At 42.6% G+C, this 12,306-nt stretch overlaps 1 protein-coding gene across 5 annotated transcripts in view, besides 1 other annotated feature; it reads left to right on the top strand.

Moving 5' to 3' along the window:
• The window catches only part of PCSK5 (proprotein convertase subtilisin/kexin type 5), a 473,167-nt gene that overhangs the window by 312,901 nt on the left and 147,960 nt on the right, over positions 1–12,306 (top strand). The window lies entirely within an intron of this gene.
• Positions 4,042–4,566: an enhancer, noted in NCBI's record as "OCT4-NANOG hESC enhancer chr9:78821667-78822191 (GRCh37/hg19 assembly coordinates)". NCBI's record gives its function as "activates a minimal SCP1, AML or CMV promoter by ChIP-STARR-seq in naive H9 embryonic stem cells {active_cell/tissue: H9 hESC(naive)}" and the evidence as "EXISTENCE:reporter gene assay evidence [ECO:0000049][PMID:30033119]".

The raw sequence follows: 12,306 nt of genomic DNA on the forward strand, positions 1-12,306 counted from the left end.
TGATTCCTGATCCTTAACAGAGAAGGTTAGATCTCCTTAGTGTAAGCTTTCTAGGAAGCCTCTACATTTCTTTTATATTAATTTTATGATAAATATCTAGTTACTTGTAGGAATATTTGTCTAATATATGTAATTCTCACTACATAGTTTGTTTGATGGGGGCAAAGTCTGTAAATGCCTTATATGTCGTGAACCTGGTAAAATATCTTGTAGAGAAGGTGCTTGATAACTGTTATGGATAGTTGAAAAAAATGAATGAATGAATAATTAAATGAAAAATTGAGCAAATGACAGGAAAGGAATAGCTCTGATCCAATACTTGGACAACTAAGTTCTAGCGTGAATTCTGTAAAACTTCAGCATAGCTCTCTATGTGTCTACACCTCAGTTTCCCCTTCTTCAGCATCATCCCTGTGAACCTTCCAGCTATTCTGTTCCATGTAAAGAGAAAATAGCAGGAGACTTCACAGAGTTTCCATCACTGGTCCTAAAACACATGCAAAACCATTGGCACAAACTCATTAAAGCCAATGCTTTAGGACCCTGCCACTAAAAGTGTGGACCAGCAGCAGCAATAAGCGGCCAGGAATTGTCTAGTGTGACAGCAGATTTCTAAACTTGCATTCTCATTCCCTGGGTACTCACTGTTGACAAGGGACTTTGCAGGAGAAATTAAAGGTTAATATCAAATGAACTTAAAATAGAGAGATCAGCCTGAATTGTCCAGATGGGCCCAAGGTAGAGGCAATCAGAGAGGTGTGGTAGAAGAAGGCAAAACAAGCAGAAGGCAGAAGGGGAAGTTAGAGAGATTCAAAGTGTGAGATGGACTTGGCCCACAGCCGAGGAACTTGCAACAGACCCAGGCTCAGAGCCTCCAGAAAGAATGCAGCCTGATAACACCTTGATTTCAATCTTGTAAAACTCAGAGCAGAGAACCAGCTGAGCCGCACCGTACCCAGCTGTCTTACCTACAGAACTGTGAGTTAGTGAAGGGGTGCTTTTTTAAGCTACAAAGTTTATAGTAACTTGTGATGGCAGCAGTGGAAACTAGCACAATGAGAACACACCTGCTCAATCACAATATGTCCTTTTGCCAGATCCCAAGTTGATCTTTTCAAGACATGGTTCAATGTCATAGTTACTATCACAGAATCTGAAGGGAGGCTGCCTGGGTTCAAATCCTGGCTCTGTCATTTACTAGCTGTGTGATCTTAGGGAACACATTTAACTTCTCTGTGCCCCTGCTTCCCCATTTGGATGATGGTAATCCTACCTCTCTTCCAGGAACATTTTGAGGATTAAATGACAACCCATAAAAGTACTTAGGACAGTGCCTATATGTATTAGGCAAAAACATGTTGGTTACTAATATTACTTAAACCAGAATTTTTTATTCATTGTTGATCCCTCTGCCTCCACTAATATCCAATCCATCACCCAGCTAGTTAATTTACCTCTTGAGTTTCTCTTGAATCTGTCCTCTTCCCTCTATCCCCACCATGACCGTCCTAGGTTGGCTATCATCATCACTTCCCAGAAGCACTCTGTGAATCTTCTCTAGTTCCGCAAAGAAGCTAAAGTGACTTTTCAAAATGCAAATCTAATCACAATGCTCTCCTGCTAAAACCTGTGGCTACTGGGGTAAATACAGGATCCATTAACATGTCCTGCGAAGTCTGATACCCCTACACCCATCTCAATTTCATTTTTCTTTCTTTTTCTTTCTTTCTTCTCTCTTCCCTCTCCTCTCTTCTCCTCTCTTCTCTCTCTCTTTCTCTCCTCTACTCTCTCCCCCCTTCTCTGGCCTTCCTTTAGCCTGTCCCGGTGGCCAAGCCTCCCCGCACTGGACCCTTTGCAGACATGGTTCCCTAAGGCTAGAGTGCTGGAATCACAGGTCCACAATTGTGTTTGTTCTTATTTGTTGGATGTCTGAGTCCCACTCCAGACTCTAAGCATGAGGGCAGGAGTGCATTTGCTTTTTCTCATCGTTGCATACCCCATAATTAGCACAGTTGCTGGCACAAATACTAGCTCAGTAAACAGTTTTTTAATGAACAAATGAATGAATAAAAATACCGTGGCACAGTTGAAGAGGCAGGACAAATAAGATGTTGGTGCTTCTTTTGGTTTGACTCCTACTTGGGGGCAGGGAGGGCAAGAATTAAATTATGTCAGATGGAAAACATAAATTCACTGGCTGGATCACTGTTGAGTTACTGCAACCTTTGTGAGTGTGTCACAGACTATGTTGGAAGTAGCTGAGCACAGGAGGAGAAATCAGAAATTGGTTCAGCAAAGGGGTCATCTCAAAATATGCTACAAGTCTAAGGGGTTATATAACTACCAAAAGCTGAAAAATTGTCTTTCCACACTCTCACCATATCTGTCATTTCTTTAGGTTTGCTGCCTAGAAAGATCTCATTGTCAGGTATTTTTTCCCCCACCAAAATATATAAACCTCAGTTTGCAGCTATCTCACTACTAGGTTAGCCCTCACTGTCCCTTTCCGTATTCAACCCTCCACCTCCCGCTTCCAGCTCTGTAGGTGTAAAACACGATGATCCAGAGCTGGAGAATGAAGACCCGCCTATGCTGTTCCCACACAGAACACAGCGTGAGGAGGTGGCGAGACATTCGCAGACCATAGAGGGCCCTCGTATGGGGCTGGGGCAACTTGACCTCAGATGTCTGTGCCAGAAAAAAAACTGATGAACAGGTACATCATTCAGGAATGTCCAAGCTCACAAATTCTTTATGAGGCCAGCAGAACTTGGAGGCCTGAAACCCTCCTCCAGAATCTAACTCATACCCCACCATTCTGTAATATGTATTCTCTGGGCTTCCATCACTGAAGTTCCGTCTCCCTGTCTTATAAGCTCCAAGGAATGTAGGGACCATGTCTAACATTGAGAATTCCAGATACAGGCAGGTGCTTTAAACCTGTAGCTTAATCAAATGGTTGTCAACGAGACAACATCAGCCTCCTTTTGTTGTCTCAGGCTAATTATTAGACAATTCAGAAATAAAATACAGATGATGTTTAGCCATGTCTTACTGAATGATTCAAATCAAACTCACTCTCCAGGTAATCGGCAGAATTTCTGACTCTGTGCTGGATCCCTCCTTCACCTCCCTCCTAAACCCTCTACCAAGAGGACATACACCATACCCACCCTTCCGGATGGCAAGTTTGGAAATATGCTTGCACTGTGCACATTGGCCACTTTCTACTACTGGTGCTAAGCAATAACCCAGAGTAGCAAGCAGCCTAAGCCTGGGTTGAGATGGCGACAGTCTTTCCGAAGGACTCTAAGGCAATGAGCATAGAGCAATGGCTGTCAGACTTGAGTGGCCATCAGAATCACCGGGACAGCCTGTTCAAACACAGATTCCTATCTGCCACCCCCACCTCAGAATTTGTAATTCAGTAGATCCGAGGTGGAATCTGAGAATTTATATTTCTAATAAATTCCCAGTTGATGCTGATGCTGCTGGTCCTACCTTGAGAACCACCAACACTGGTGTTAACTACATAGTCTTAGTAATGATACTAGAAAGATGTGGGTTCAAGTCCCAGCTCAGCCACTTAGCATGTAACTTTGGATAAAGTATTAAATCTCTCAAATTCTCACTTTCCTCATCTATAAAAAGAAAGTATTAACAGCAGCAATGCTGAGGATTAAATGGGTGATGCATCTGGAAGCATACGAAACATCCCCACCCCAGAAGACAGAGCCCCTTTCCCTGCACCACACCCAGTCCCTGCTCTCCCCAGGCTGCCGGTGCAACTCTCCTTAACAGGGCTGCTATAGGAACATTTGAGCAGTGGGCAGGGCACAGCTAATTGTCTCCACTTGCCTCTGTCCAGTGGTGTCCTGTCCACAAGGGCAATGCTAAGATGAGCATCAGCCCACCTCACAGAGCGCAAACAAGGCTATTGCCTGATGCTTCTGGAAGAATGGTGTTTCACATAGCTTTTTGCCCTGAGACTAAGAGATAAAGTAATTCATCCAAAACCACACAGCTAATAATGGCAGAGCTCCAGAGTTAGGACAATGCACCTGCTGACTCGCCTATACTGAACTGCATTTGTAATCTTGCTGTATTAATTTCTTATGGCTGCTCTAACAGATAACTACAATTTGGTACCATAAAACAATACATATTTATTCCCTCACACTTCTGGAGGTCAGTAGTCAGCAATCAGGGTTTCAGTAGGGCCACCCTACCAGAGGGTCCAGGGGAGAATCCATTTTCTTGTTTTTTTCAGCTTCTAGAGCTGCATTCCTGGCATTCTTTTGCTCATGACCCCTTCCTCCATCTTCAAAGCCAGCAGTAGCCTCGTTAAATCTCTCACTCTACAGTGAGAGAGATTAGATCACCTTCTTCTGTAGTAAATTCTCCTTCTGTTTTCCTCTTCTAAGAACACTTGTGATTATATTGGTGCCACCCTGATAATCCAGGATAATCTCCCCATTTCAAGATCTTTAACTTAATCACATCTGGGAAATCCCTTTTGCTGTACAAGGTAATACTCACAGGTCCCAGACATGAGGACTTGGATATCTTTGGAGGCCATTTTACGGCCTCCCACACTTGGATTTTTTGTCTAATTCTCTGAGCCACCATTTTTACTTCAGTGAAGTGGAAATAATAATATGTCCTCATGAGAACATTACCATGTGGTACACACTAACTCACTGAATAAATGTCCGCTGGATTGTTGAATGCTTCCTGCAATACTCTTTTGTGTGTATCTTGCATTAATTCGTTAACTATTTACTCATCTAACTTTTATTAAACACTTACTATGTGTTAAGTACTGAGCTGGGCATAGGGAATATAATATAAGGGTATATAAGGATATAATAGAATACATTTCCTCCCTTTACAGATTTTATACTGTAATAAAGGGATCTAAATGAGGGAGCAAATGCCCTGATGTGTTAACACGTGTTATGAAAAGGAATTAGAGAGGATATGCTCTACCGAATGGGTTGTCAGTCCCCTGGGCAGGAGGTAGGAGTGGAAGGATAGAGCTGGAGATAGGAGGCTGGAAAGGGACAGGGAGGTGTGAGCACCTGGAAAGTGCCAGGAATTTTTCCCTGATGGAGCCTTGGGGCTGTCTTAGTCTGCTTCCTGCTGCTATAACAGAATACCACAAACTGGGTAGTTTATAAAAAATAGGACTTTATTTGGCTCATGGTCCTGGAGGCTGGAAAGTCTAAGATCAAGCAGCTGCATTTGGTGAGAGCCTTCTTGCTATATCATAACATGGTAGAAGGCATGACATGGCAAGAAAGCGTACATGTGTCAGAGAGAAATGGGAGCCAAACTTCATCTTTTTATCAGGAGCCCTCTCTCACCGTAACGAACCCACTTTCACAGTAATGGCATAGTCCATTTATGAAGGCAGAGCCCCCATGACTTAATCACCTCTTAAAGGTCTCTCCTCTTGATACTGTCATAATGGCAATTAAATTTCAACATGAGTTTTGGAGGGGACATTCAAACCGTAGCAGGTCCCAAGGACTGAGGCACAGTGGGAGAGAGATGAGCTAACAATGCTGCCAAGGGTCTGACTGCAATGACCCTGGGTGCCATGTAAAGAAATCTGGGTCATGTTATGTTCTCCAGGAGCCACTGCAAAGTTTAAAGAGGCCCTTCTCAGTATTCCATCCTCTGCAGGGATCCAGGACTCCTGGCAGGAAACCCTGAAAGCTCTGTCCTCCTCATAAATATTAAAATACCAAATTCACAGAATTGTCTGTGAAGTGGTAGTGGTTTCCTTAAGTGCCTCTTGCCTTTGCCTTTCTTCCTCATTGAGACCTTTTATGATTTATAGTTTCAGAATTTTATTTTTAGAGCCTCCCATTACAGTGAGCCATCATCTCCCTTGAACCTCTGTCAATCTAATTTATAAGTCATCTGTTCTTAAAAATATTCTTATACCTCTGGATCCCATTTAACTCTCTAATCTTTGCAGTTCTTTTCATATGAGAATGTTCAAAAGGTAAATTCACCAAATTAACTATTAGGCAGAGAAGAATAATTCTGATTGCTCATGCGGTATTTTTTTTCCAACCTGGATGGTTTTGCTGAGAAGTGGATTGATGGTAACTGTGATGTGAATTTATTTGAAAATGTTTGCTTTCCTGGATGCATAGTCCTTGGTCTATTTTATCCCTTCACTTTACCTCCTGAAACTTAGCACCCCTCTCTAATATATTTTTGTCAACTGATATCATTCTCTCCATGAACTTCAATAAATTGGCAGTGAACTTCTGTGCTGGAAAGACATTTTGCATTAAAAACTGGATTCACAGCAGGCAATCTGCCTGGGGACCACATGTCTAAGAAAGCAGTCATTTTTAACTAAGGATATTTCAAGCCTAGATAGAATAGGGCTGGTGTGCTCTGAAGCCACAAATGTCTAGCCTACTAAAAGCAAAATTACTGTACTGCATGTTGGTAATTAACCTTGTCAACTAACTTTCAGAACAACTCCAGCGTAATGTACACACCTTTCTTTTGAGTTATATTGTTGTGATTCCTGGATCCCATTACATTCTACTTGCAACCTGCGTTCCTATCGCTACCCCTTACCAGCACTCCCTGATTTGCTTGCCCTGTTCAGCTTTTTGGTTCATAGAATTTAGTAGCTTCTAACCGTACTAATCATGCAAAATTTACTAGTTTACTTTATATCTCCTGTGTTATGATGTAAACTTCACCAGGAAGGAGATCTGTGTTTTGCCTACTACTGTATCTCAGATGCCTGGAATAGTACCTGACATGTAGTAGGCGCTCAATAATTAGATGATGAATGAATTACTGAGTGCCTTTTCATGGAGCTTTTAACTATCGTGTCACTGCTTTTCGCATCCCTAACGTCCAATAGTCAACTTATTTATTTACCAAAATGTTTCGATCACTTCACCACATGGCAAGTTGTGGTCTAGATCACAGAAAATTACTCTTGACCTTAAAGAGCAACTAGTCCCTGTCAAGGAGACACATATGTGCAGAATCACCAGTTGATATACATAATTATAAATAAATAAAATTATAAATTAAAATATAAATTATCAATTTAAATATATATTAAATTATAAATTAAAATATGTACAAAGCACAACCAAGCACAGAAAGAATTAATTCAGCTGCATAATGATGTGGTAGGAAAGATTCAGATAATTCTTCACAGAGGAGGCTACTTTGAGTTGTAGAGAATGAGTAGAAGTTTGCTGGAAGAAGAAAGAAAGGAGTGGGCACACTTCAAATGGCTGTTCTAAGTGGGAGAGTGTATCATGGGCTTGGGGGACTGGAAGTCTCTTGGAAACGCCAGAGCATGAGGATGTGTCTTAGTTGACCTCAACAGCAGCTGACCTTGAGACAAAGATTCAAGTCCAAGAGTTTTTTTAGGGGAGGTCAAAGAAAACGCCAGTGGTGAAGCAGGAGAGTCAGATAGGGAAGGGAATGCAGCCAATGAAGGTTATGTCATCAAGCCAGTTACTGTAAGCTACCAGAGGGGCAACTGGAGTTCAACGTCGTGGAGAAACTCTGGAAAATGGTATATAACATAGGCCTCAGAGTTTCCCCACTGATGAGGCAATGTAGCTGTGCTTTTCATATACTAAATCTCTGTCATTGGTTGAGGACAACTCCCGGGGGTCAGTTCGCTCCCTCTTCTGGCCTGCCATGTGTGCCTGACAGAGCACAGGCCTCAAGGAAGTACAAAGCAACACTCTCCCCTGTAAGTTTGTTTCTGCATATGGATGTGATGAGGCCAAATGGTGTGTGCAGGGCACCAAAAGAGTCTGCTACAGTTTGTAAGGTGAGCAATAGAGGATGAGGGTAAAATTGAAGCAAGGGCCAAATTTTTAAGGCTCTTGTATGTCATTCCTTCGAGCTTTATTCTGTATTGAGGGAGCAGCGTTGCAAGATTTTAGGTAGGAGAGTGGTCTGATAAGGTTTGAATTTCAGAGAGAACATTCTGGCTACAGAATGAATGACAGAATTGGCGTGGGGGGTGGAGAATATCGAGTCCAGGAGACCAATTAGGAAGATAAATCCACCATATGGTATAGAAATGATTGAGCTAAAAGACATGGGCTGGTGCTGGAGATGGGGATGAGCAGATGGAATGGAGAGCTGTTCAGGAGATAGAACAGACTGAAATTGTGAGGGATTAGATGTGAGGAGGGATCGGGGATGACTCCCTGGCGCAGGCTCCCCTGATTGGATGATGGTGGCACTCACCTAGATTGGAAGCACAGGAGGGGTATCAGTGCTGGGCTAAAGTGGTAAGGCTTGTTGAACATGGTAATTTGGAGATACCTGTAAAGTATCCAGGTGGAGAATCCAGTGGGCAATAGATGCAGGATTATTGAACTCAGGAGAAAGATCTGGACTGAGAAGAATTGTTTAGAAACCACTACTTTATGGAAGAGATTTAAGGGCAGAGAAGCAGAAGAAATTCCAGGATACATAACTGAAAGTTTGCCATGTGGGATGAGTTAATTGAATGTTACTATCAACATCCATTCGTATGAAGTCCTTTGCTAAGCTAGAGATGACCTGGCACCTATCATCCCTGGGTATTGCTTTGCCTTTATTTCTCTCTGCATCTTTCTAAAATTATTATTTCTTTCCCTCAGCCTAGCTGGATTTGGAGAGGGAACAAGACAAATTGTGTGATTTGGGGCAAGCTGTAGAAACTCTAATTATTAGCTTCTTCATCTGTAAAATGGGGCTCCCATAAGTGGAGACTGGTTTGTCTGATAGTCAATTGAAGAAACTTTCTTGAGAGGCTTTCCAAAGCTTTCTCCCTCTCCTGACCTCAAAAGATCTTAAGTCTGGGCATGGTGGCTCACACCTGTAATCCCAGCACTTGGGGAGGCTGAGGTGGGAGGATCACTGGAGGCCAAAAAGTTCAAGACTAACATCGACAACATAGGGAAATGCTATGTCTACAAAAATAAAACAATTAGTCAGGCATGGCGGTGCACGCCTGTGGTCCCAGCTACTCAGGAGGCTGAGGCTAGATGAGTGCTTAAGCCTGGGAGCTTGAGGCTGCAGTAAGCTGTGATTGTGCCTTTGCACTCCAGCCTGGGTGAGAGAATGAGACCGTGTCTCAAAAAAAAAATCAAAGTCATGCTCTTGCCCTACAAGGCACTTAGGTGGGTTGATACAAAATGCTCCTCACTGCACCCGCCATGAGCATTCACCCCCAGCAAGCACTGCACCTTTTACCTGCTAATGCTGGTTCATCTTTTACCTAGCACTTCATAATTGATTAAATAGCAGCTACGCTTGGGACCATTCTAAATGGTCCCAGCCACTGAGACCACTGTGAGAAAAGCCCTTTGTAACTACTTACCTTCTCTTCGTGTGAGTTTTATGCCAAGTATCTACGGATGTGCAACTCTTCCGCCAGACAGTTCTGCTGGCCAAGGACAGGATGGCCCCTCTGAAGGAATGTGTAGGTGATGACATTTCTTTCATCATTTTGGTACCTAAACATGACACTCTATCTGGCAACAATGAAAGGCACTCCTGATTGCTTATGGCATGGCTGTAGGGGGAAGGGGCTGTGAGCGTCTGCACTATATTTTGCTCCATCAACTCTTGTTATATGGGTTGATATAGCAGGAGAGATAACAAGAGTTGTGTGTCTTGTTGATATCACAAGAGTTGTGTGTTAGAGAAAGAACACAGCCATCCAGCATTGAGCAGGCTGAAAATACTGCCACTGACAAAATACTGCCATTGACAAAGTACTGCCTGTGGCATGTGGTTAAACGCACAGTGCTACGCCAGGAGTTGCTTAGTTTCAATACATCTGCTAGATCATTCCAACCAGCTTTCCTATATTCCCAGGCTCTGGCAATGCTACCACCATTTTCTTAACTCACTCAAGTTTAAGTCCATCAACTCGACTCCTTTTTCTCCACTCATTTCCTATATGCAGGTTGTCATCATTTATCAGTCATAATGACATTTATTCACCATTTGTTATATTCCAGACAAACCCTGTGCTAAGTGCCTTTAAATACTTTATCAAATTTAGTCATTACAACAACTTTCTGAGGTAGGGTTATTTTTATATTTTTTTGCACCTATGGAAACGAGGGTTAGAAAAGTTAAGTAGCAAGCCTAAAACACCACACAGCTAGAAAGTGGCAGAGCTGGAATATGGATCTGGCTTTCCCAGCTACTTATGTACCATAGTCCCTCCTGCAGAGCATTAAGGATCTTATCTGCCCCTCCTATATGTGACACTTTGAAGTTTCCAAAGCATTGTCACAAAGCTATCATTTGATCCTCCAAGTGGAGCAGAGAACTAGGCAGGACATGTATCATTGTCATTTCCACAGAAGTGACTAAGCCCCACGGGGTTTCACCGACCTACTCAAAACCATGCGTCCATGCCTTGGACTCAGATCTTCTCTCTTTTCATTATTCCCATAAATATCATTCTTTTTGTTCAGAGAAGCTGATTCTTCTGTAATGACCCATGTATAAAATTTCATGGGAGGCCAGATTTAGCCTACTACAAAGATATTTCAGATAGTTGAAGTTTTCCAAAAATGGAAGAGGAGGTAGTGAGTTCTTCTTCCTTTTCGGTATTCATTCAAACACTGAGCAGTCACTGGCTGGGCTAGAAAATCATTGAGGGAATTCAACCCATTCCCTGGGGACAGGGTAAATAAAGGCAGCTAGAGTAGATGAGCTCTAAAAGCCATCTGTCCCTGAGATCTGATGGCTCAATTTTCTGGGGACCACTCTGTCCTCACCATTTTGGTTGTAGTGGTTCCACTCCCTCACCCTGGCTTACTGCAGCCATCTCCTGGTTGATTTTCTGGACGCTGTCTTTCAATTCATTTAGTCTCCCTTGACCAGGGTGATCTTCACCAAAGTTGTGCCCAGCATAGACTTTATCTCTTTCTAAATCTTCAGTGACTCCCTTTGACCAGCTGTACCCACTTGATACCCCTCTAACTGATGTTCCGTTATCTGTCTACATCCTCCATCCAAGGTCATTTTTCATTTCTCTCGAACTCAGTTTCTACTTCAGTCAACCCAATCATTTGCCTGCTCCCAGAGACATCAGACTTATTCTACCTTCAACCCTTTGCTTTCCTTGTCTCTCTCTGAAACATTCTCCACTTTCCCTCCTGCCCACTTAACCACATCCTCCATTCTTTCATGCCCAAGGCAATCTGATTTGCAGTTCAACAAACAAAAAAATGGAATGAATTCCTCACACTTAGGAACAATCTTCCACTCATACAGTGAGGCCACGGAGACCCCAGAATAAGCAAGAGATGGCCCTGTCCTCGGGGAAGAGTATAATCAGAACCAGCTGCTCTGGACAAGACTTAGATTTGAACACTTGATTCTACATTGGCTAGTTTTCTTGATAGTTGATGTGAGCTGATTCTATCCCACAAAGGGTAGAAAGTGAGCCTTCTTCCAACACTCCACGCCCCATGCAAGAAAATGGTAGGCAAGCAAATAGTTCCAGATTACATGATTGAGGAGTCTAGGATTGCATGTTTGACTTTTTCCCCACATTCACTCACACACACACACGTGCACACACACACACATATGTGTGTGTGCACGCAGCCCACCAGTGATTTGAATTTCTAGGATATTGGAAGGGGGGTGCCATTTAAACATGAAATCTCATCTCTACTACTTTCTTGAAAAAGGGTATGTATAGCAAAACTCTGGTTAAAAGAGGAGAGTTTGGAGTCTGACTTCTTGGTTTAAGTCCCAGCTCTGGCAACAGCTAGGTGACCTTAACAGACCACTAATGTCTCATTGCCTCAACTTTCTCAACAACAACAACAAAAAGCAGGCCTTGGGGATGATTTAAAAAACAAGCAGTATACAATGCCTTTCTCCCAACAGGGTCAAGTTATTGTAAGGATCAAGTAAGTTAGTATTTGTGGAGCACTCCGAACAATTCCTAGCATATGGTAATCATGAAATAAGTGTTAGCTGTTCTTATTATTACTAATTCAGTGACCTTGGACAGACTGCTTACATTTCCTGAGCCTTGGTTTCCTCATCTGTAAGAGGAGAGCAATGCTCACCTCCATAAACTGGCTCTGAGAATTAAGTGTGAAAATATTGAGAAAGCTTTTCTAGAAAAGCTTCCCTTATCTTTGACCCAATGCCTGGACTTACGCTCCCCAAACAATACAACTACAACTTTCTCCTCTCCCTACTTCTTTAGCCATTTTGCAAGTCTATCATTCATGCTACTGTTGTAAGCTGGTTGTTTTTATTCCA

Source organism: Homo sapiens, chromosome 9 (genome assembly GCF_000001405.40).
Source record: "Homo sapiens chromosome 9, GRCh38.p14 Primary Assembly".
Taxonomy (NCBI): Eukaryota; Metazoa; Chordata; class Mammalia; order Primates; family Hominidae; genus Homo; species Homo sapiens.